This window comes from Homo sapiens, chromosome 20, assembly GCF_000001405.40.
Source record: "Homo sapiens chromosome 20, GRCh38.p14 Primary Assembly".
Lineage (NCBI taxonomy): Eukaryota > Metazoa > Chordata > Mammalia > Primates > Hominidae > Homo > Homo sapiens.
In genome coordinates, this window is record NC_000020.11 from 52,096,534 (window position 1) to 52,122,029 (window position 25,496).

General features: G+C 47.3%; 1 protein-coding gene and 1 pseudogene across 6 annotated transcripts in view, besides 2 other annotated features; both read right to left on the reverse strand.

Annotated features, from left to right (window-relative positions):
- ZFP64 (ZFP64 zinc finger protein) overlaps window positions 1–25,496 on the reverse strand; it is a 107,769-nt gene that overhangs the window by 12,523 nt on the left and 69,750 nt on the right. For 4 of the 6 annotated variants that reach the window (XM_047440285.1, XM_017027945.3, XM_017027947.3 and 1 more), the window contains 2 exons: window positions 1,905–2,054; window positions 840–902 (listed from right to left, as the gene is read on the reverse strand). In XM_047440285.1, the coding sequence (XP_047296241.1) occupies window positions 840–902; window positions 1,905–2,054 (213 nt within the window). Of the gene's footprint in view, window positions 1–839; window positions 903–1,904; window positions 2,055–8,119; window positions 8,756–25,496 lie in introns of those variants that run through there. The other 2 variants (NM_001319146.2, XM_006723822.3) reach the window with 2 other exon arrangements.
- Window positions 8,140–9,108: an enhancer, noted in NCBI's record as "NANOG-H3K27ac-H3K4me1 hESC enhancer chr20:50721212-50722180 (GRCh37/hg19 assembly coordinates)". NCBI's record gives its function as "activates a minimal SCP1, AML or CMV promoter by ChIP-STARR-seq in naive and primed H9 embryonic stem cells {active_cell/tissue: H9 hESC(naive and primed)}" and the evidence as "EXISTENCE:reporter gene assay evidence [ECO:0000049][PMID:30033119]".
- Window positions 9,109–10,075: an enhancer, noted in NCBI's record as "NANOG-H3K27ac-H3K4me1 hESC enhancer chr20:50722181-50723147 (GRCh37/hg19 assembly coordinates)". NCBI's record gives its function as "activates a minimal SCP1, AML or CMV promoter by ChIP-STARR-seq in naive H9 embryonic stem cells {active_cell/tissue: H9 hESC(naive)}" and the evidence as "EXISTENCE:reporter gene assay evidence [ECO:0000049][PMID:30033119]".
- ERP29P1 (endoplasmic reticulum lumenal protein 29 pseudogene 1) lies at window positions 13,614–14,663 on the reverse strand (annotated as a pseudogene).

A 25,496-nucleotide genomic window follows, 5' to 3' on the forward strand; every position in this document is an offset into this window, starting at 1 on the left:
CAAGTATAGGATTTGTACCACAGATTAAGGGTTGGCAAAGTGTTTTGTAAAGGGCTAAGTAGTATTTTAGGCAGGATGGGCATGGTGGCTCATGCCTGTAATTCCAGCACTTTAGGGGGCCAAGGCAGGTGGATCACCTGAGGTCAGGAGTTCGAGACCAGCCTGGCCAACATGGCAAAACCCCGTCTCTACTAAAAATAGAAAAATTAGCTGGGCAAGGTGGCAGGCGCCTGTAATCCTAGCTATTCAGGAGGCTGGGGCAGGAGAATCACTTGAACCTGGGAGGCAGGGGTCGCAATGAACTGAGATTGCACCACTGCATTCTAGCCTGGGTGACAGAGCAGGACTCTGTCTCAGAGAAAAAAACAAAACAAAAAGATAGTATTTTAGGCTTTGTGCACCCTACAGTCCCTGTAACAACTACCTCTTGTAAGGCCAGAAAGCTGCAAGCAATAGGTAAATGAAGGAGCATGCCAACAGGCTGAGTTGCCCATGGGCTGCAGTTTGTAATCCTGGCATAGATTATGGCACTCCTTTGCTTCAGCAGGTCTTATTTCTCTTCTCAGCAGCTGGCTGCCCTAAAAAAAAAAGCACCTTTAAGAAGCCACCTTATTGCTCTAAGATGACTATAGCCACAGGCTCTGTGTAGCTCATCCTGGGAATCACTTCATCTTCATGTCACAGCCCTTTTGCTCCTTCTCCCAAGCCCACCCCACTAGACTGAGTTTCATGAGGCAGATGAGGCAGAGACTGTCCTGTTCATTACTGTGTCCCTAGCGCTTAATTCACATTCACGTCCCATCTTTCTTACTGAGCTGTTGAACAGAATGGATACCTACCCGTGTGGATTCTGAGATGGCGGTCCAAGTCTTTCATGCCATGGACAGTTTTGAAGTGGCAACCTAGAAAAGAAAAATAGATTTTTTTTTTTTTTTTTTGGAGACAGAGTTTTGCTCTGTCGCCCAGGCTGGAGTGCAGTGGCTCCATCTCGGCTCACTGCAACCTCCGCCTCCCGGGTTCAAGAGATTACCCTGTTTCAGCCTCCTGAGTAGCTGGGATTACAGGCGCCTGCCACCACGCCTGGCTAATTTTTGTATTTTTGATAGAGATGGGGTTTCACCATGTTGGCCAGGCTGGTCTGGTCTCAAACTCCTGAACTCAGGTGATCTGCCCGCCCCGGCTTCCCAAAGTGCTGGGATTACAGGTGTGAGCCACCATGCCTGGCCTGAAGAATACAATTCTTAGAAGAACCTCAGTTGAGTGTGGTGGCCCACACCTGCCATCCCCGAGCTTGGGAGACCAAGGTGGGAGGATCACTGGAGGCCAGAAGTTTGAGACCAGCCTGGGTAACGTAGAGACCCCCGCCCCCTATTTAAAAAAAAAAATTAGCCAGACATGGTGGTGCATGCCTGTAGTCCCAACTACTCAGGGGGCGGATGAGGGAAGATCACATGCACCCAGTGAGTTGGAGGCTGCAGTGAGTTATGATCACACCACTATACTCCAGCCTTAACAGAGCAAGACCTTGTCTTGGGATGCTGAGGCAGGAGAATTGCTAGAACCTGAGAGGCGGAGGTTGCAGTGAGCCGAGATCACACCATTGCACTCCAGCCTGGGCAACAAGAGTGAAACTGTCTCCAAAAAAAAAAAAAAAAAGAGTCCATATATGTATAACCTCAGGGTGGAAGCTACTATGAATCCAATGTTCTGGTGAGTCCCACGCTGAGCTCTGGATGCTACAGGCCTCTTAGGCCCCCCAGGGAAGGCTGTTGTGTGCTGATGTAGATACTGGCATGTTGTCAGCAAACAAGAGTAACATGAGCAGGCAGCTCAGAGATTCACGTAGGGCTTGCAGATCAGTGCTTGGCTCAGAAGCGGCTCAGCACGCAGGGTTTTACTCTTACCTGGGTAGCAACAGTTGAACGTCCTCTCTCCAAGGGTGGCCATTTGTTCCCTTGCCTCTGAGGGAAGAGTGATGACAGGGGCCTTCGGAGTGTCAGTGCTTTCAGTGGAGAGGCAGTTTGCTTTTGGAACATCATCATCAAGTTCTGAAGCTGAAATTGAGGCATAGTTTTGCTTAGTTTCTCATTTATAACCACCATGCTAAGTCTTAGAATACAGTAGGTTTGGGCTTATTTCACCTCCCTTCACCTTTCCAGAAAAAATTTAAAAAAAATGAAAGCCATGTGACCAGGCGGGGTGGCTCATGCCTGTAATCCCAGCACTTTGGGAGGCTGAGGTTGGTGGAGCACGAGTTCAGGAGTTCGAGACCAGCCTGGCCAATATGGTGAAACCCTGTCTCTACTAAAAATACAAGAATCAGCCAGGCATGGTGGTATGTGCCTGTAGTCCCAGCTACTCGGGAGGCTGAGGCAGGAGAATCGCTGGAACCTGGGAGGCAGAGGTTGCAGTGAGCCGAGATCATGCCACTGCACTCCAGCCTGGGCAACAGAGCAAGACTCTGTCTTTACCAAAAAAAAAAAAAAAAAGCAAGCCATGTATGCTCTGTCTTGCAAAAGTCCTCTTCCCCTTACTACGGTTTCCAAGAAGTACAGGGGACAGGACACTGTCACATAACAGGGAAACTGGCAAAATCTAAACTAAAAAACATATGAGTACTTCTTAAATGGCATGAAGACCTAGTTTTTTCTAACAATTTCTAATCCATCCCAGGCTGATATTTCTGTAAAATATGATAAACAAGAATTAGGGGAGAGGTGGAATAAGATAAAAAGAGCCCAATCATTAGATACAGCAAAAAGCTGGATGCCATGGCAATGTCAAACTTTTTTTTTTTTTTTTAAGATGCTTACTCTGGATTTCTGATTTGTTTTGCCTCAGTTCAGCAAAAGGTCACAGACCACACATCACTGATCTCCAGGATAAAACAGTTGTTTCAACAAATAACTTGAAAGAAGAAAGATGGAAGAGGAGAAAAAGCAAAGACTGAGAGACTTGAGGTGGTCGACAATATCGGGACTTTACTTGGCTCCTGATTAGAATATGCTGGAAAAGCTGAGATGGTAAGAAGTGTGCTCACTCACTGCAAGTTTGCTACAGGGGTTTTATACTTTGGTGTGAAAATGGAATTAGAGTTTAAAGAGCATTCCCCATAGTCTAAGGATGAATGTTGAAACATTTACAAGTTGTATGATATGTGAATTTGTCTTCAAAAATAATCCAGGGCAGGGAGAGAGCTGGCATAAGGAGAAATGAGATTGACCACATGCAATTAATGGTTGAAGTGGATCAATGGATGAGAATTCACTATAGTCTATTTTTAGGAAGGTTGAACTAGGTGAAATCGCTATTTTTGTTAGCCAAAACGGTCAAATAATTTCATGTTTCAATCTAATATGTAGGTTTTAAGATTCCTACAGCAAAGATTAAGTACTAGAAGATTCTGAAATATCTCAAAATAGACTTAAATCTAAAAGGAAAAAAGGTCCCATCAAGGTCTGAAGTTTTTTCTTTTTTTGAGACGGAGTCTCGCTCTGTCACCCAGGCTGGATTGCAGTGGTGTGATCTTGGCTCACTGCAAATTCCGCCTCCCGGGTTCACGCCATTCTCCTGCTTCAGTCTCCCAACGGGGACTACAGGCACCCACCACCATGCCCGGCTAATTTTTTGTATTTTCAGTAGAGATGGGGTTCCACTGTGTTAGCCAGGATGGTCTCGATCTCCTGACCTTGTGATCCACCCACCTCGGCCTCCCAAAGTTTTTTTTTTTGAAACAGAGTCTCACTCTGTCGCCCAGACTGGAGTGCAGTGGTACCATCTCAGCTCACTGCAACCTCTGCCTCCTGGGTTCAAGCGATTCTCCTGCCTCAGACTCCCAGGTAGCTGGGATTACAGACGTGCGCCACCACGCCTGCCTAATTTTTGTATTTTTAGTAGAGACAGGGTTTCACCATGTTGGCCAAGTTGGTCTTGAACTCCTGACCTCAAGTGATCCGCCCATCTCAGCCTCCCAAAGTGCTGGGACTATAGCCACGAGCCACTGTGTACAGCCATCTAAAGTCTTAGAAGATTGACTAGCTTATGAATTATAGGCCAAGGTCTGGGACTTTCTCTGTCCTAAGGTTATTACAAAAGGTGGATTATCACTTTTATTGAGAAGTTTGTGCGGGTGAAGGAATCTTAGCATGAGAGGCTGTAGAGCACAGTGGTGAGGGCTTCAGTTTTAGGCAGAGGGTTTGCTCAGCTATGTGCTGTGCAACTATTGGCAAGCTACTTAACCTTTCTGAGCTTCAGTTTACTCGTTTGCAAAAGGAGATTACATGCCTCAGAGTTGCAGAGTTAAACAAGATGAAAAAATATATAAGTTCTCAGTACAGTGTCATCTGAGTAAATACAATTGCGTGGCTTCAGATGTCGCAAGTGAGGACTACAGATTTCACATCCTAGCAGTTGTGCTCGAAGCCCCTTAACAAGTGATCTAGTCCAGTGGCTCTCAACTGGGGGCCATTCTACCACCAAAGGACACTCAGCAATGCCTGGGAACATTTTCAATTGTCATGATTCTGTTTGCATGCATGTTTGAGAATGGCATCTAGTGGGTGAAGGCCAGGGATGCTGCTAGACATCCTATAGGGCATAGGACAGCCCCCACAAGGAAACGATGCAGCCCCAAAGGTCAATAGGGCTGGGGTTGAGAAAGTCTGCAGTAGTCCTACTCCCAATGTTTCTTCCAAGTGTAATCCTGATACTATCTGTGTCACAATCACCTAGATCATGGGTTCAGTGTAGTTTCCCAGGCCTTACCCTATACTCACTGAAAACTTAGGGGCAGGAGGAGGGGTGGTAGTGTGGATCAAGTAAGGACTTGCGATTCCAGGGACTTGCGATTTTTTTTTGAGACAAGGTCTCGCTGTCACCCAGGCTGGAGTGCAGTGGCACCAACATGGCTCACTGCAAACTCCGCCTTCCAGGCTCAAGCCATCCTCCTACCTCAGCCTCCCGAATAGCTGGGACCACAGGCATGCACCACCACATGCCTAGTTTTTGTATTTTTGTATTTTTTTGTAGTTTTGTATTTTTTGTAGTTTTGTTTTTATAGAGACAGGGTTTTGCCATGTTGCCCATGCTGGTCTCAAACTCCTGAGCTCGAGCAATCTGCCCACCTTAACCACTCAAAAGTGCTGGGATTACAGGCATGAGCCACCACACCTGACCTCAGGGCCTTGCATTTTTGAAGCACTTGCCAGATGATTCTGCTGTATTACTTGTAAGTCCTTGCTACTCAAAGGGTGGTCCCTAGAGCACCAGCATCACCTGAGAGCTTGTTAAAAATGCAGAGTCTCAGCCGGGTGCCGTGGCTCATGCCTGTAATCCTAGCATTTTGGGAGGCTGAGGCAGGCGTCCCATCCTGGCTAACACAGTGAAACCTGTCTCTACTAAAAATACCAAAAAAAAAAAAAAAAAAAAAATTAGCCAGGTGTGGTGGCATGTGCCTGTAATCCCAGCTACTCAGGAGACTGAGGCAGGAGAATCGCTTGAACCTGTGGGGCAGAGGTTGCAGTGAGCCCAGATCGTGCCACTGCACTCCAGCCTGGTGAGAGTAACTCCATCTCCAAAAAAAAAAAAAAAAAAGGCAGCAGTCTCAGGCCCTACTCCAGACTTACAGAACCAATCTGTACTTTAGCCAGATCCCCAGGTGATTCCTGAGCACAGCACATTACAATTTGAGAAGCACAGCTCACAGCCAGTGGTTCTCAGACGTCAGCGTGTATCAGAATTGCCTAGAAGGCTACTTAAAACACAGGTGGCAGGGGCTCCCATTTGGAGTTCCTGATTGAGTAGGTATGGGGTGGAGCCTGCGATTTTTCACTTCTAACAAGTTCCCAGTTGATGCCGATGCTGGTCTGGGAACCATACTTTTGAGTCTCTTGCTCTGTGAGCAAGAAACTGGCTCAGATGCTCAAGGTTGCAGGACTGGAAGTTTTCAGCTCATTGGAACCCACACTTGCCAGATCTGCAACCCATCCTATGTCCCTCAGGGACAGACACAAACAAAGCCTCATTACATAGCAACTCACATACTAGAAGAGAAAACCATTAAACTCTTGAGGGTTTTAATTCCACAGAAGTCAAGCAAGACTGAAAACAAATCTAAGTGAGGCACTGTATAACACAGTGGTTTGGGGAACAGACTGGGAAACCAGCTGATAAGTTTCAATTCCAGTTTTACCATTAGCTGTGTCCCACTGGATAAGCTACTCAACTTCCCCGTTCCTCAGTTTCCACATCTGTGAAATGGGTATTATGGCCGTCTCATTAGCTTAGATGAAGTTCTTTAGTATATGTAAGAGAACCTCATGTATTAGTCAATACTGTATAAATGCTATTAGTGTTATTCACTGATATACACACGTAAGATTCTACCAGATTCTCAGGGGGAGAAAGATGCATGTTTTCAACGCAAACTAGAAAAGTGAGAGAGAGGTGGGTTAAAGGATGACCCAGATAGAGCCTCTGATGGGGAGGTGTGAGGGGCCTCCGATTTCTTTTACGTTTAGACACCCAGGAAACCAAAGAAGGCCTGAAGCCCACTCTCCTGGGAAAGGTGCAGCTGGGGGAGACCCTCTGCCTCTGGAAGTGGGGGTGGGCCGCATTTGACTATTAGAAACCAGGTTAGCATGGCGAGGGTTTTAACTCCTGGGGAAACGGATGATGTTCCCTCAGTAAGGTTCCTCCAGCCCCTTCGTCATTTTACTGGTGGTGACAGGAAGTCCACTAATTACTTTCCATTTTATTTTCCTCCAAAAGCTACTTGAGTTGCAAAGACACTTGCAAATTAAGAGTGGCCCAACCTTCGTAAAAAATGTACCCCCTTGCCAGTGTCGCAGACCAAAGGTACTAGGATAAAACGTCAGTTGGAAGACGGTTTTTTCTCCGAAGTGGTGGCTGGGGTTGAGGCACACTACTGGGCCGGCAGAGTTTGCGTCCTGCTCCCACAGAAGTCACCTCAGTACTCCAGGACGCACGACACCCTCCCCATGCCCGAAACACTGGGTGCGGCTCCAGAAGGCGCCTCGCAGCGCTGGCTGCAGGAATCCAAAGTAGCTCAGTGCACAGACTTTCAACTCCAGCCTGGGGTTACTCAGCAATTCTCTTCTATAAACACCTCCCCCAAAAGACTCAGCATCCCCAGTACCTCCCCAACTTCCCCGAGGCGCAGAGATCAGCAAGAGCCCCGCCCCTCGACCCAGGGGACGGGATCCTGTAAGTCTCACCTGCCTATCTCCATCCCAGGCCTCGGGCACGAGGGTGGTTGTACTATCCTGGTTATGGTAGCTCCACTCGAGCAAGCTTTATTTTAACATATAAGCTATTCGTTTAGTGGAGGCTTCATTAAACTACTCCCCTCCACCACCACCTCGGGAAGTTGTGGTCAAAACCCACCAGACCGACTGTGGTGGAAGTTGATGCGGAAGCTGGAGAGCCCGCGGCTCTGGAGGGGTGAGCCGCCCCGGAGAGGGGACCCATCCTCCTTTCCGCGCCCGGAAAGAGCGGGGGAGAAGAGGAAGTCCAGTTACAACTCCTTTCCTCAGCCCCTTAAAGGAAAGGTATCAGCTAACCACGGGGAGCTGGCAGCCTAAGAGAAAGTAGGAACCTACAATCTCTTAATCTAAGCACAAGATAAGCAAAAAGGGAAGCGCCTTAGAAATGCAGATTCCCCAACCCCACCCCTGAGATTCCAGTGGAGGCGGGGGATGGGGGGATCCCTAACTTGCAGGAAGAATTTGGCGAGCGAGAAAAGGTCCCCTCCCGCAGGCTCTTCTGAAGCGGAGGATCCCGGGACGAGAAATGCTGCCCGGGGGGCTTAAGGTAGCCGACGATCTCCTTGCTACATCCTGTGTCCACGTGGCAGCCGAGGAGGGGGTGTGGGGGCCGCCTGTTAAGTGCGACAGCATCACTGCTCTATCCCCACCACGGCTCCCACTTCGCTCAGATAAAATGCAGAGCTCTTACCAAGGCTCACGGCCGTCCCCCGCCCCCCACCGTCTGCCCCCATCACCTCTCGGGCCTCCGGTGACCTCTCGGGCTACAGCAGCGCTGACGCCCTGGGTCCCTGCGCTTCTGTTCCCTCGGCCTGGAATGCTCTTCCCCCGGGTACCTGCACAGCTCGCTCCCTCCCATCCTTCGGGTCTTCGCTCGAACGTCCGCTCCTCGGTGAGGCCTTCCCTGGACAACGCATTTGAAACGTAACCCCAAGGCAAGAAGCCACCTTCCAGGCGCGCAGCCGAAGCCCAGTGCCAAGGAGGCCGGAGACTCGGGTGCCCGCGCATCCCGAAAACAGCCTCTGAGGGGTCCTCTGAGCATCCTTCCAGCGTGTTTGGGAGGCAAACTCGTTGACTAGCTCTTGAGAGGAGTGGCTAGAGGAATCCAGGCGGGGAAGGGGACGGTGGACTCCAGGAGAGTGTAATTTACAAAGGCGGGGGGCGGGGACGCCCAGGTCCGAGTCCCAGGACTCTGCGCCGGACGCTTCGCCCGCCCTTTCAGGTCCCCTGCCCGGTCCTCGTACCCGCGCGGGTCCGGAGAACCTCTGAGCACCGGCCCCCAGCCCCCGGGCGGGGCTCCAGCGGCGCTACTCACCCGGCTCCCCCGCCACCTGCGGGGCCACCTCCGCACACTCCCGGCGCGCAGGCCGCGGCTCCTCGGAGTTGAGGTGCTGGGGCTTGGCCTGCTTGCGCCGCGACATGGCGCGAGGACCGGGCTCCCCGCGCGTCCCTAGGAGTGGCCTACTTCACACAACGAATTCCCGGAGTTCGGAAATTACCCCCCTTCGGCCGGAACGCGCATGTCCCGGCAATTCTGCTCATCAGCCGAGCAGGGCGATTTATCAAGAGTCCTGACGGCTGATTGGCCTGGAGCCAAGACCCCAGGAGTCCCGCGGACTTGCGGTCCGCTCCCGGGCAGCCCGCGCCACCTGGGAGCTCGTTAGAAATGCAGACTCTCGGGCTCTACCCCAGACCCGCTGAATCAGAATCTGCATTTTAACAAGATCCCCAGGTGATTCGCATGCACATTAAAGTTTGAGAAACCGTGTCTGCATTTTAACGAGATCCCCAGGTGATTCGTTTGCCCATTAAAATTTCAGAAGCGCAGCTCTCCTCCAACTTTAATGTGCGCACGAGTCACTGGGGATCTCGTTAAAATGCAGATTCTGACTCAGTGGGTCTGGGGTGGGGCCTGAGCTCCTGTATTTCTAACGAGCTCCCAGGTGGCGCTGTGGCTGCTGCGCTGCACAGGCTGCGCTTTTAGATTCGGACTTAATTGGTCTGGGCTGGGACCTGGGCACTGGGATGTTTTTTTAAAAAAGCCGTCTCCCTCCCTCACCACCCCCATCACACACACAGGTCATTCTGATGTGCATCCAAGCTGAGAAGCACGACCTCCACTCCTGGTTCTCAACCCTGCTGCATACCCAAATTTAAATTTTAAATGAGGAGTGTCTCCAACTGCAGGGAGAAATGCAGATTCCGAAAGTTCTGGATTCAGGTGGCCGAGGCCAGAAATGTGTGTTTTTATATAGCACGCGCCCGCTCCCGCCCCGTGACTCGGGCGCACCGGCTCTTGGACCACACAGGAGTGCTTTTGGGGCCAACCCGGCGCCGGCCCCGCCCAGCAGGTGACGGAGGCGTGGTCCTCGGGGGGTTGAGCTAATTAGCGTTCATGCTCAGACTGGCTGGGACCTCGATGAGACCCGAGGGAGACCCCTCCTTGCGCCGCGTAATTGACATCCAATGGGAAGCAAGAAAGCCACCTACATCCCCCAGGTGTTTACTTTCTTCAAATTAGGGAGTTACTTAAGACTGGGTTGTGCCCCAAGCTTGCCCGAACCTGAGAATCACGTGGGGGCCCTTGTTTCAAAAAGACCCAGCCAGGCTCATCTCCGAGTTTTTGGGGCGGGGCCTGAGAATCTGTATTTTTAACAGCGCCGCGTATGAGTTTTACGGGGTGGTCCTGTGGGGTTAGCAGCATCTGTAACGAGCCTTCTGTGAGGTTACCGTTGGCGAACCCCACGGCGGGGCCTGCGAGAACGGCATTTTTGCTTAATTGTTTCCATTTCTCAAAAGCTGACCTGTTTTCCTCAAACTTCCCCTTGATTTTCAGGTTGTGAATCGACTTGGGAATATTTGTGTAATGCCCGGTGAAGTCATGTCAGGTTAAATTTCCGAGACTTAAACTTTTTAAAAAACACAACGCTTCAAGTCTTCTTTGGGATGTATGTGTAGTTACACGGATCTGTAAAGACATTTGAAAATATATACACGTGGCCGGGTGCGGTAGCTCACTCCTGTAATCCCAGCACTTTGGGAGGCCGAGGTGGGCGGATCACATGAGGTTAGGAGTTCTAGACCAGCCTGGCCAACATGATGGAACCTTGTCTCTACTAAAAATACAAAAAATTAGCCGGGCATGGTGGCGGACGCCTGTAATCCCAGCTCCTGGGGAAGCTGAGGCAGGAGAATCACTTGAACCCGGGAGGTGGAGCCGAGATCGCGCCACTGCACTCCAGCCTGGGCGACAGAGTGAGACTCCATCTCAAACAAACAAAAAATATATATGTATATATACACACACGTTTATCATATCTCCTTTTGAGGAGACTGGATAAACAGTGGTTGCCTCTGGGGAAGTTGAAAGAGGGGTGCATGGGGGGATGGGAGACATCTGAGACCCTCTTATACTGCTTGAGGTGTGTACATGTGTTTGCATTTGCTTTGTTGTTATTTCACCTCAGGTGTACACAATCAATTATTGGTACATGAGGCATTATTACTGGCCTATTGTTAGCCTACACTTGCCTACATTTTTTAGGCTGCTTGCTTGCACCTCTGTTTATTATGATATAATAAGTACTAGGGAACCTACTGCCCCAAAGTAGGACCTTAACCACAACCTACATCTCTCTTTATATGGCCTCCTGATGTCCCCTCCCCTCCTCTGCCCTACAACTTAAGAATCAACAGCCTGACTCCTACAGATCTCATTCATTTGCTTTGTCTCTTTAGCAAGTTTTATTGTACCTACATGTATTCCTTAAAAAAACAATTTTAATATTTAAAGAATATAAAAAGGGTATGTAATCTTCCAAGAATAACTTTTTTTCACTTAATATTATTTTGCTAAGATCATCCAAATTGCTGTCATTGTTTATTGATTTCGACTGCTCTGTAAATATTCCACTGTGTGAAAATGCCAGTTTCTTCACCTACTCTCCTGTTGATGGGCAATTGGGCCTTTGCCAGGTCTCTGCCATTGTGAACAGTGCTGCTATGATCTTTCTAAAAAGTGTCAGAGTTTCTCGTGAGTGAGTGTGTACCTGGGGGTGGTATAAGAGATAATGCCAAAGTGATTGTATTAACTTACACTTCCCTAGCAAGGTATAAGAAATAACGTAGGTCAGTCTCAGTGGCTCATGCCTGTAGTTCTGGCACTTTGGGAAGCTGAGGTTGGTGGATCACTTGAGCTCAGGAGTTTGAGACCAGCCTGGGCGACATGGCAAAACTCTGTTTCTACAAAAAATATACAAAAATTAGCTGGGCGGATGACACACACCTATGCTCCCAGCTACTCTGGAAACTGAGGCAGGAGGAAGCTGACCCTTGGAAGCTGAGGCAGTGAGTCATGGTTGCGCCACTGCACTCCAGCCTGGGCAACAGAGTAAGAACCTGTCTTGAAAACAAACAAACAAAACCCAAAATGTGAAGCCCATTCTTTCTCACACTCAGGATTATAAAATGTCTTGATTTTTGCCAACTATATTGATATAAAATGGGATCTCGGTATAGTCTTTTCTTGCATTTTCCATGTAGGTATAATAGTAGCCAAAAACAAAGTGAAAATGATAAATGTGTTCCACAAATATAATGACAACTGATTAGTCTTATTTTTGAAAAAAATTGTTTTTACTCTTTTGCAAAACATCCAATCAGAGTTCTAGTCCTAAATTAAGTTTATTACCTTTTTTTTTTTTTCTTTTGAGACGAAGTTTCACTCTTGTTGCCCAGGCTGGAGTGCAATGGCACAATCTCAGCTCACTGCAACCTCCACCTCCTGGGTTCAAGCAATTCTCCTTTCTTAGCTTCCTGAGTAGCTGGGATTACAGACAGCCACCACCATGCCCGACAATTTTTTTTTATTTTTAGTAGAGATGGGTTTTCACCATGTCGGCCAGGCTGGTCTCGAACCCTGGCCTCAAGCAATCCACCTGCCTCAGCCTTCCAAAGTGCTGGGATTACAGGTGTGAGCCACTGCGCCCGGCCATCATGTTTGGTTTTAATGGCTTTATTTCAAGGCTCAAAATTGAAAATCTGAAACACACACACACACACACACACACACACACACACACACACACAAACTTACAGGGTCTACAGATATAAATGAAAGCAAAGTATCATTGGCCATGCGTAATCAGTCATGATTCTCCTCTTTCAATCCCATTTGCCTATTACACAGGTTGACTATTCTGTTGAAATCCAGCTAGAAAATTTTAATCTTCCCTCATAATCAGGAGCTTCTGCAAATTAAAGTGAAGAAGACACATTACTATATTGTACCTGGAACAAATGGATTTCAAGCCCAGGGAAGCTCTTTTTTTTAGAAGATTTTTTTTTTTCTTTGAGACGGAGTCTCACTTTGTCGCCCAGGCTGGAGTGCAGTGGCATGATCTTGGCTCACGATCTTGGCTCACTGCAAGCTCCGCCTCCCGGGTTCATGCAATTCTCCTGCCTCAGCCTCCCGAGTAGCTAGGACTACAGGCACCCACCACCATGCCTGGCTAATTTTTGTATTTTTAGTAGAGACGGGGTTTCACCATATTAGCGAGGATGGTCTTGATCTCCTGACCTCGTGATCTGCCCGCCTCGGCCTCCCAAAGTGCTGGGATTACAGGTGTGAGCCACCGTGCCTGGCCAGAAGATGTTTAAACAGGCTACAAAAATCTGTTGCTGGCTGAGTGCGGTGGCTCATGCCTGTAACCCCAGAATTTGGGAGGCCAAGGCAGGTGGATCACCTGAGGTCAGGAGTTCGAGACCAGCTTCGCCAACATGTTGAAACCCCATCTCTACTAAAAATAAATAAAAATTAGCTGGGTGTGGTGGCACATGCCTGTAATCCTAGCTACATGGGAGGCTGAGGCTGGAGAACTGCTTGAACCCAGGAGGCGGAGGTTGCAGTGAGCTGAGATCGTGCCACTGTACTCCAGCCTGGGTGACACAGCGAAATTCCACCTCAAAAAAAAAAAAAAAAAAAAAAGAAAAAAATTTGTTGCTAATTTTAAACACGTAGACTGAGGTTCTTATAGGTGACAACTTTTCATTGTTTTCAGCAACAATATCACATAACAAGGGAATCATGGCCAAACATGCATTGAAAAGTACTTTCTGCATGGGATGTTTCTGTTGAAAACTAGTTACTTCTTCATTCTTCATATATTGCCTTTGTCCTGATTTTTTCTTTTCCACTTAACCAAAACACTGAAACTTTAATTGAATCCAAATTACACCTGTCAAAGACCTGGGCCGTACACTCCTCAGTCTTCTCTATAGCACCAATTCCTTCTGAGGGGTCATTTCACCAGCCACCTGAGAAGTGCTCCAGCTATCCCCACACCAGCTAGAGACATCCCAAGCATGGCTACATCGGCATCAACGTCCAGGCATACTCAGAGCTCAGAATTGTAAGTTAGTACCACTTTTCCCACCAACCCCTTATATTTCACAAAGGACTCACAGCCAGCAGGTTAACTCTCCCCTCCCCACCCCTACCAAACCCTGGAAAACCATAGAGAGCCTTTTTACAACTCCTCGTTCTCAGCCCCCTTCTTCTGGAAGGCAGTTAGGATGTTTAAGCTCTTCTGGAGCTCCTCCTTCTTCCCGTCACTCAACTTGTTCTCAATCAGCCTGGAGATCCATGTCATCTCTATGCTGGGAAGTCCTCTGCCTAGTCTAAGATCTTCCCTGTGATCTTCAGGTATTGCTCGGCCCAGTTCTTCTCAGTCTCCTTCACACTTGAGAGGTGGTCCTGCCGCTGCTTCCAGAGGGCCTAGCGGGCCTCCACGCCAGAGGCCCTGATGAACTCCTGGCCAGGGTGTCCTATGCAGCTGGCCACCAGGCCACCTGGCATAGCTAGCTAGACCCCTTGCCCCTTCAGCCAGCGCTGGATGGCTCCAACCTTAACTGCCCCAGTACATGGGACTGGGTTCTCAAAGTCCCCCTCCCGGGAGAGGTAGAAGACTGGGTAGCTCTCTTTGAGCAGCTTGTATTTCTCACTCAGCTCCATGTTCAGCTTGTCACCATAATCTGAGATCCCCACCTCTGCCACCAAGAGATCATCGCTGGAAGCCGAGTTTTCAGCAAGACGCCTGAACTCATCCTGCTTCTCACCGTAGCGGTACTGGGTGTTGAACTTCACCAAGACGAACCTGCTTTTGGGAATGACCTTGTAGAAAGTGACCGTATCCAGGGGAAGGGCGCGCTTGGTGTGCAGGCCGCTGCTGCCATGCGGAGCGGAGAGGAGCAGGAAGCCCAGGAGAAGGGGAAGCGGCAGGGAGAGAGACGCGGAGCGGGGCACGGCGGCAGCCACATCGCCGGGTTCCGCGACGGGGAGGTGGGGAAGCCGTAGTGGAGAACGCCCCAAGTCAGCGGTCAATTTTTTTTTTTTTTTTTTTTTTTTTTGAGACGGAGTTTCGCTCTGAGTTTTGCTCGTTGCCCAGGCTGGAGTGCAATGGCGCGATCTCGGCTCATCGCAACCTCCAGCTCCCGGGTTCAAGTGATTCTCCTGCCTCAGCCTCCCAAGTAGCTGGGATTATAAGTATGCACCACCACGCCCAGCTAATTTTGTATTTTTAGTAGAGACGGGTTTCTCCATGTTGGTCAGGCTGGTCTTGAACTCCCAACCTCAGGTGATCTGCCTGCTTCGGCCTCCCAAAGTGCTAGGATTACAGGCGTGAGCCACCTTGCCCAGAATCCGATTTTTTTTTTTAATAGTTGTTAGATAATCCCCTTTGTTCACACAGAAAGTTAATAAATTTTCAAACATTGTCGCTTTGTAGAAGAAAAATAGAGAATATCTGTAATTCTCGCAACTCTTAAGTATTTTGCCAAGAGATAAACAGCATACTTCTGAATTATACAACAGATTCTCCTGGTCACTCTACCTCTCTTTACAAACATTATAAAGATGCCAGAGGCAGGATAATGTAGTAACTAAAAGCACAGTTTGGAGCCAACCTGAGTTAGAATCCTGGCTCTGGCTGGGCACAGTGGCTTACACCTGTAATCCCAGCACTTTGGGAGGCTGAGGCGGGTGGATCACCTGAGGTCAGAAGTTTGAGACCAGCCTGGACAACGTGGTGAAACCCCATCTCCACTAAAAATACAAAAAATTAGCTGGGATTGGTGGTGGGCACCTGTAATTCAGCTACTCAGGAGGCTGAGGCACGAGAATCGCTTGAACCCAGGAGGCAGAGGTTTCAGTGAGCCAAAATCGTGCCACTGCACTCCAGCCTGGGCAACAGAGCGAGACTCTATCTCCAAAAAAAAAAAAAAAAAACAAAAAAAAAACAAGAATCCCAGCTCCTGGCTCTGTTCACATCCCACCTGTGTGATCTCAAGAAAAGTGTTCTGTGTCCCATTTTTCTCATTAATAAAATGGCAATGCCAAGGGTGGCTTGAGGATTAGTGAATTTATATATGTAAACAGGTACAGAACAACATCTAGTACATAGATACTACTCTAAGTATTAACAGTTATTTATGATAATGGAGTAAGAGTTATAGTTATCTATGAAAGTAGCACTCATCTGTAATTGGTTATTCCACTTAACTAGGCAAAGTTACTGTTTTACATGGAAATATATTTGAAGCAAACAAGCATGTGTGACCTTACTCAACCCTTCTGAGTTGCAGAATTCCCATGCTTTCATAGTTTCAATCCATATATTAAATGGGGAAAGCTTACTCTTCTTTTTAAAGAGAAAGATACAAAAACAAAGTATCAATACAATGTTGTTTCTGATTGTCCTGGGCCTCTGGGGATGTGGGCACCCTGGTTGTGTTCTCCTTCCTTTTTTTTTTTCTTTGTTGGGACAGAATCTTTCTCTGTTACCCAGGCTGGAGTGCAGTGGCGTGATGTTGGCTCACCGCAGTCTCAACTTCCAGGTCTCAAGAGATCCTCCCATCTTAGCCTCCCGAGTGGCTGGGACTACAGGCACATGCCACCACACCCAGGCTAATTTTTGTATTTTTTTGTAGAGAAGATGTTTCACCATGTTGCCCAGGCTGGTCTTGAACTCCTGGGCTCAAGTGATCCTCCCACCTCGGCCTCCCAAAGTACTGGGATTACAGGCATGAGCCACCGTGCCTGGCTGGGTTCTCCTTCCTAAGCATCTTCATTAAACTTGTATCATTAATACTACCATTCTCTACTATGAATACCAGAATGAACAAATAAATGTTTATCCAGGCACAAATGATTCCCCAAAGAGGTATAAAACTAGACAGGAGGCAGGGCGCTGTGGCTCACGCCTGTAATCCCAGCACTTTGGGAGTCTGAGGCAGGCAGATCACGAGGTCAAGAGATCCAGACCATCCCGGTTAACACGGTGAAACCCCATCTCTACTAAAAATACAAAAAATTAGCCAGGCGTGGTGGCGGGTGCCTGTAGTCCCAGCTACTCGGGAGGCTGAGGCAGGAGAATGACGTGAACCCGGGAGGCGGAGCTTGCAGTGAGCCGCGAATGCGCCACTGTACTCCAGCCTGGATGACAGAGCAAGACTCCGCCTCAAAAAAGAAAGAAAGAAAGAAAGAAAGAAAACTAGACAGGAACAAATCTTATTTATTGATCATTACCCTTGTACCCTTGCCAGGAATTCTTTTTTTTTTTTTTTTTTTTTTTGAGACCAAGTCTCGCTCTGGTGCCCTGGCTAGGGTGCAGTGGCGCGATCTCGGCTCACTGCATCCTTTGTCTCCTGCGTTCAATCGATTTTCCTGCCCCAGCCTCCCAAGTAGCTGAGATTACAAGGCACCCGCCACCATACCTGGCTTTTTTTTTTTTTTTCTTTCATTTTTAGGAGAGACAGGGTTTTACCATGTTGGCCAGGCTGGTCTCGAACTCCTGAACTCAGATGATCCACCTGCCTCGGCCTCCCAAAGTGCTGGGATTATAGGCACGAGCCACCATTAGTTCATCTGATAACAATTCTTTGAGCCCACTTTATTGCCTGCCTCTGCTCTAGGCTGGAGATAGAGTGATAAAGACAGGCAAGATCCAGAAGGGATTCAGAGAAGTAACCAGAAAATGTACAAGGTCACTTTAGAGGGCAATAGGTGCTGTGATCAAAATACTGTGGTAGTGTGATCGGGAGTGACTGGGTGGTAGTGGTGGGTACCTGATTTTGGCTAGAAGTGACCTTTGAGCTAAAACACAAATGTAATAGCCAGCCATGGAAAGAACCAGGGAGACAGCGTCCCCAGGGGAGGGAGGAGCAACAGCAAAGACTCTTTTAAGCGACCAACTTTGGTATGTTTGAAGCAAACTAAGGAGATTCAGGGACTAGGTAGCTCCCAGATAAGAAAAACATGATATGTAAAAATTTGAAAAAAAATATTCAAGGTCACTTATGATTAAAGAAATGTTAGTTCAAGTAAACGGAAACACTGATTTTCACCTGTCCCGATAGAAAAGATTAAACACACACACATGCTGAGCGTGAGCCAGCTATTCCATGCCTATGCTGTATTTGTCAAACTCACTGTGCAGAGAAGTCACCTGGGGATCTTGTTAAAATGCAGATTCTGATGCCAGTGTGTCTCAAAATGTAACATGTATACAGATCACCTGGGGACCTTGTTAAAAGTCAGATTCTGATTTCAGTGCTTCTCAAACTTTGATGTACAGAGGAATCACCCGGGGACCTTGTTAAATGCAGATTCAGGGCAACAAACATGGAAGGGATGTTCCATCTTACTAATTATAAGGGAATGGCTAGTAAAGCCTGTTCCCACTGTTCTTTTCACCTATCAGATCAATAAAAATTTAAAACACTCAGAACATCTACTGTTAGGAAGAGTACAGGGAAATTGGTTTTCTAATGCATTGCTAGTGAGAGCATGAATGTTTATAGCCACTTTTGAGGGCAATTTGGCAATACGTTTTTAAATATGTCCTGCCAATCTATCAATTCTGCTTTCCATCTTTTCTCCTCCAGAGAAACATTTGCACAGGCGCACAAGGGAGAATGTCCAAGAATGTTTGTTGCAAGTCATTGTTGTAGCAAAAAAAAATGAAGAAACATCCTCAATGTCCAACAATAGGCAAGTGGCTACATTAAACTGAGGTTTAGCCAGATCATGAAATACCAGGCCAGGCCGGGCACGGTGGCTCATGCCTGTAATCCCAGCACTTTGGGAGGCCGAGGCAGGCAGATCACGAGGTCAGGAGATCAAGACCATCCTGGCTAACACTGTGAAACACTGTCTCTACCAAAAATACAAAAACAAAAAAAATTAGCCAGGTATGGTGGTGGGCGCCTGTAGTCCCAGGTACTGGGAGGCTGAGGCAGGAGAATGGCATGAACCCGGGAGGCAGAGCTTGCAGTGAGCCAAGATCACGCCACTGTACTCCAGCCTGGGTAACAGAGTGAGTCTCAAAAAAAAAAAAAAAAAAGAAACACCAGGCTGGATTTATGAATACTAGCATGCTTAGAGCTCTAAGATATATTGCATTAAAGAAAAAAAAGCAAGGCCCACATAGATATATAGATCTAAACACATATTCAAATATATACATATTTTCAATGGTGAAATATATATTCACATAAATCCAGTGAAAAAAGTACTGGAAGAATACATGCTCGCTACAGCTTTTTTTTTTTTTTTTTTTGGAGACAGGGTCTCACTCTGTCACCCAGGCTGGAGTGCCGTGGCATGATCATGGCCCACTGAAACCTTGACTTCCCAGGCTCCAGTGATCCTTAAGCTTCAGCCTCCCGAGTAGCTGGGACTATAGGCACATGCTATCACACCTGGGTAATTTTTGTATTTTTAGTAGAGACGGGGTTTCACCATGTTGGCCAGGCCGGTCTTGAATTTCTGGGCTCAAGTGATGCGCTGACCTTGGCCTCCCAAAGTGCTGGGATTACAGGTGTGAGACATAGCACCCAGCCTGTACTGGCTACATCTTAAGCAAGAAAAGGGGAGAAGTTTGGAGGAAGGAAGATTGGAGAACCTAAATTTCTCTCTCTCTCTCTCTCTCTGTGTGTGTGAACATTATGCATAGTAATATTTCTTTCTTTCTCTTTTTTAGATGGAGTTTTGCTCTTGCTGCCCAGGCTGGAATGCATTGGTGCGATCTTGGCTCACGGCAGCCTCCATCTCCCGGATTTAAGCGATTCTCCTGCTTCAGCCTCCCAAGTAGCTGGGATTACAGGCATGCGCCACCATGCCTGGCTAATATTGTATTTTTAGTAGAGACAGGGTTTCTCCATGTTGGTCAGTCTGGTCTCGAACTCCCGACCTCAGGTGATCTGCCCGCCTCATCCTCCCAAAGTGCTGGGATTATAGGCATGAGCCACAGCACCACGTCAATATTTCTTTTTTTTTTTTGAGATGGAGTCTCGCTCTGTCACCCAGGCTGGAGTGCAGTGGTGGGATCTTGGCTTACTGTAACTTCCACCTCCCAGGTTCCAGCGATTCTCCTGCCTCAGCCTCCCGAGTAGCTGGGATTACAGGCATGCATCACCACGCACGGCTTATTTTTGTATTTTTAGTAGAGACGGGGTTTCCCCATGTTGGCCAGGCTGGTCTCGAACTCCTGACCTCAGGTGATCCGCTTGCCTCGGCCTCCCAAAGTGTTGGGATTACAGGCGTGAGCCACTGCGCCTGGCCATATTTCTTTCTTTTTTTTTTTTTTTAAAGAAAATAAGGAATGTATTCATATACTACTTTATAGTTAAGAATTAACTAAAATAAATAATGATATACTTTCATACAATAGAATTCTATTAAACTATAAAAAATAATGCATTTCTATGTACATTCATATGGAATATTTTTTATGATATATTAAGTGAAACATCCAAAAGACAAAGTGTACAAATTATGCTGTTAGGCATATGTGTACATACACATATATACACATACACATATATACACATATGCCCAACAGCATAATTTGCATTATGCATAATATGTATAACATAATTTGTATAACATCATCTCTATATACATTTTAACACGAGGCTGGGCGCACTGGCTCACGCCTGTAATCTCAGCACTTTGGGAGGCTGAAGCAGGCAGATCACCTGAGGTCAAGAGATCGAGACCTTCCTGGCCAACATGGTGAAACCCTGCCTCTACTAAAAATACAAAAATTAGCTGGGCATGGTGGTGCAGGCTGGTAGTCCCAGCTACTCAGGAGGCTGAGGCAGAAGAATCTCTTGAACCTGGGAGGCTGAGAGGTTGCAGTGAGCCGAGATCGTGCCATTGCACTCCAGCCTGGTGACAGAGCAAGACTCTGTCTCACACACACACGCACACACACACACACAAATTATGAATGTTGTAGCTGTTAGCATTCTTGCTTGCACTGCTTTCCTGATTCACATGTGAAAGTTTCTGTATGTCCAGAACCTGTATTTAACAAGATCCTCAGGTGATTCTTCTATAGTTTAAAATGATCTGCTGAAATCAGAATGGGCTTTTAATAAGGTCCCCAGGTGATCCATATTCATGTTACCTTTGAGACACACTGGCATCAGAATCTGCATTTTAAAAAGATCCCCAGGTGAGCTGGGCATGGTGGCTCACACCTGTAGTCCCAGCACTTTGGGAGGCCAAGGCGGGAAGATCACCTGAGGTCAGGACTTTGCGATCTGCCTGCCCAACATGGTGAAACCTTGTCTCTACTAAAAACTAAAAAATCAGCTAGGCATGGTGGTGGGCACCTGTAATCCCAGCTACTCGGGAGGCTGAGGCAGGAGAATCACTTGAACCCAGGAGGTGGAGGTTGTGGTGAGCTGAGATCGCGCCATTGCACTCTAGCCTGGGCGACAGAGCGAAACTCTGTCTCAAAAGAAAACAAAACAAAACACAAAAAAGAAGATTCCCATGTGACTTCTTCTATGAACAGTAAGTTTGAGAAGTGCAGCATGGGTGTGGACCAGCTGGGCCATAGAATAGGTTTGCATTCAACTTGCCTAGAAATGCCAAGCTATACCATTATCATAAATTACATTTTATGATTATTATTCTTTTTGAGATGGAGTCTCCCTCTGCTTGTTCTGTCACTCAGGCTGGAGTACAGTGATGCGATCACAGCTCACTGCAGTCTCAACCCCCCAGCCTTAAGCCATCCTCCTGCCTCAGCTTCCTGCGTAGCTGGAACTACAAGTGCACACCACAGCACCCAGCATATTTTTTTTTTGGTTTGGGAGAGACAAGGTCTCACTACATTGCCCAGGCTGGTCTTGAACTCCAGGGCTCAAGCAATCCTCCTGCCCAGATCTCCCAAAATGCTGGGATTACAGGCGTGAGGCACCATGCCTGGACTATATTATTTTTTAAATGAAAAAGAAACTAGTTAAGTTACTAGTGCACAAACTCAGTTGAAAAGGGAAATAACCCCTCTACAAATCTTAGCTTCTTCCTCCTCTTTCCCCTCTGCTCCCACACCCCACCCACCCCTTCATGGCTTAAAACTGGAAATGAAATTTGGTGGAGGAGGATTCTGTTTGGGCAACAACATGGATCCAAGTCTTTATTTATAGAGAAAACAAACAGCCTCTAATTCACCTGCTGGCCCCTACTGGTTTGAAAGCTCCTGAGCTATAGCAGATGTTCTTCAAGAATAAGAATGCTAAGCTTCCAGACTCCAGGGCAGGGTGTGGCAGGCCTGGAGTGGTCAGTGTCTTGCCTACTCCTGAGAAGAATGAATTCCCCATCCTTTGTGGCAGGAGTGAAATCACACCAATTGCTGTTTTCAGGTTCCACTAGTGTCTCCTTATCTTATGCCACAGTCGGCCTGCCTGACATTTTCTACTAGGGCATGTCCTGAAGCTATTCATTTGTTTAACAAACATTAATTGGGTTGCCACTGGGGGCAAGGCTTTGCTAACCTTTGGGAATATGAAAGCAAGTCTTTAAAGAAGTTGCAGAGCAATCAGGAGGATAAATAAGTAAACAGCTATAGTACAGTGTGATAAATATGTGATAAAGGTTCTCACAGAGTGGGCAGGTAAAGCTTCCTCAGAGAGGTGGATTTGTAGCCCTGGCTATGTAGGATGAGATCTTGGGCAGGTAAAGAAGTGAAGTAGGTTGGGTGCAGTGGCTCGCGCCTGTAATGCCAACACATTGGGAGGCCAAAGTGAATGGACTGCTTCCGGCCAGGAGTTAGAGGCTGGCTGGGGCAACATAGTGAAACCCCGTCTCTACAAAAAATACAGTAATTAGCTGGGTGTGGTGGTGTGTGCCTGTGGTGGCAGCTATCAAAAAAGGTCGAGGGCAGGAGGATTGCTTGAGCCTGGGAGCTGGAGGCTGCAATGAACTATGATCATGCCATTGCATTCCAGCCTGGGTGACAGAGCAAGACCCTGTCTCAAAAATAAAGTAAAATAAATAAAAGCAAAAAAGAAGTGAGTTGAAGTGGGTTTCAGGTAGGGGGACAGCTTGTACAAAGACCAGGAGGGAAGCTGGGTTCGGTGGTTCACGCCTGTAATCCCAGCACTTTGGGAGGCTGAGGTGGGTGGATCACCTGAGGTCAGGAGTTCAAGATCAGCAGGCCAACATGTCGAAACCCCGACTCTACTAAAAATACAAAAATTAGCCGGGCGTGGTGGTGCACAGCTGTAATCCCAGCTACTCAACTACTCAGGAGGCTGAGGCAGGAGAATCGCTTGAACCCAGGAGGCGGAGGTTGCAGTCAGCCAAGACTGTCACTTCACTCTAGCCTGGGAAACAGAGTGAGACTTCATCTAAAAAAAAAAAAAATATATATATATATATATATACATATATATATATACACACACAACACACACACACACACACACACATATAAACACAAAAAAATTAGTCAGGCATGGTGGCGTGCACCTGTAGTCCCAGCTACTCTGGAGGCTGAAGCAGGAGACTTGCTTGAACCTGGGAGGCGGAGGTTGCAGTGACAGAGAAAGACTCTGTCTCAAAACAAACAAAAAAACAACCAAACAAAAAACAACCCCTCCCCACTCACTACAAAGACCAGGAGGCAAAGAGACGGCACTTTTGAGAAACCTTAGTCTGACTAGAGGTGCAGGGAGTACAGGAGATAAGGTGAAGGAGTTGGGTGGGGAGGAGGTGTGAAGGGTTTCATATGGCAAAAAGAATATGATTAAATAATTTCCTATTTTTCCTTTCCCCTGTGAATGTTTGTGCCTCCCCACAATTCATATGTTGAAATCCTAACCCCCACATGATGGTATTAAGAACACGGCTTTGGGCAGGTGTTTGGATCATGGAGCTGGAACTCTCCTGGAAGGAATTAGTGCCCTTATAAAAGAGGCATCAGAGAGCTGCCTTCCCCTTCCACCATGTGTGGACACAGCTAGAAGGTGCCATTTATGAGAAAGTGGGGTCCTTGCCAGACACCGAATCTGCCAGTGCCTTGATCTTGGACTTTCCAGCCTCTAGAACTGCAAGAAATAAATTTTTGTTGTGTGTAAGCTACCCAGTCTACGGCACTTTGTTATAGCAGTTAGAGGGTGTCTGGGACACCCTCTTTCCCCTGTTAAACCTCAGACACATCCAGAGGCAAATCTCAGGCCTGGTTTGGGAAGGTGCCTGAGAGCCAATGAAGGAGAATGATGATCCTCGTCGTGGTAATGACTATGAGGATGGAAAGAGGGCATCGATAGATGGCTCACCATGTGCGTATACGCCACTTTATCGCACGTCACAGACACTGTGTGTTTTTTTCTTTTTTTACAAGTTGAAGGTTTGTGTCAACCCTGCATCCAGCAAGTGTATCGGCTTCATTTTTCCAATGGCATGTGCTCACTTTGTGTTTCTGTGTCATGCTGAGATAATTCTTGTAATATTTCAAACTTTATCATTTATTATATCTGTTAATGTGATCAGTGATCTTTTTTTTTTTTTTTTTTTTTTTTTTTGAGACGGAGTCTTGCTCTGTCACCCAGGCTGGAGTGCAGTGGCGTGATCTCGGCTCACTGCAACCTCCATCTTCCAGGTTCAAGAGATTCTCCAGCCTCAGCCTCCCTAGTAGCTGGGATTACAGGCATGTGCCACCATGCCCAGATAATTCTTGTATTTTTAGTACAGATGGGGTTTCGCCATGTTGGCCAGGCTGGTCTCAAACTCCTGACGTCAGGTGATCTGCCCGCCTTGGCCTCCTAAAGTGCTGGGATTGCAGGCATGAGCCACCTCACCCAGTCCATGATCAGTGATATTTGATGCTACCCTCGTAACTGTTTTAGGGTGCCATGAACTGTGCCCATGTAAGACGGGAACTTAATTGACAAGTGTTGTGTGTGTTCTGACTGCTCCACTGACCAGCCAGTCCCTTCTCTCTCCTTTTCTTCGAGCCTTTCTATTCCCTGAGACACAACATTGAAATTAGGCCAATTAATAACCCCACAGTGACCTATAAGTGTTCATGTGAAAGGGAGGGTGGTGCATCTCTCACTTTAAATCACAAGCTGGCAATGATTAAGCTTAGTGAGAAAGGCATGTCAAAAGCCAAGGCAGGCTGAAAGCTGGGCCTTTTGAGTCCAACAGCCAAGTCAAGGATGCAAAGGAAAAGTTCTTGGGGGAAGTTAAAAGTGCTACTCCAGTGAACACATGAGTGATAAAAAAGTGAACCAGCCGGATTTTTGATATGGTGAAACTTTTAGTCATCTGGACGGAGGGTCAAACCAGCTACAACATGCTTCTACGCCAAAGCCTAATTCAGAGCAGGGCCCTACCTCTACTTAAGTCTATGAAGGCTGAGAGAGGTGAGGAAGCTGCAGAGGAAAAGAGAAAAGTTGGAAGGTAAGAGGTTGGCTCTTGAGGTTTAAGGAAAGGCACTGTCTTCATAACACAAAAGTGCAAGGTGAAGCAGCAGGTAGGTGCTGATGGAGAAGCTGCAGCAAGTTCTCCAGAAGATGCAGCTAAGATCACTGATGAAGGAGGCTACACTGAGCAACAGATTTCCAATGCAGATGAAACAGCCCCTACTGGAGGAAGATGCCATTTAGGACATTCATAGCTAGAGAGGAGAAGTCAATGTCTGGCTTCAAAGTTTCAAAGGACAGGCTGATTTTCTTGTTAGGGGCTAATGTAGCTGGTGACTTGAAGTTGAAGCCAGTGCTCATTTACCATTCCAAAAATCCTAAGGCCCTTAAGAATGATGCTACATCTACTCCACCTGTGCTCTAGAAATGGAACCATGAAGGCTGGATGACAGCACCTCTGTTTACAGCATGGTTTACTGAATATTTAAAGCC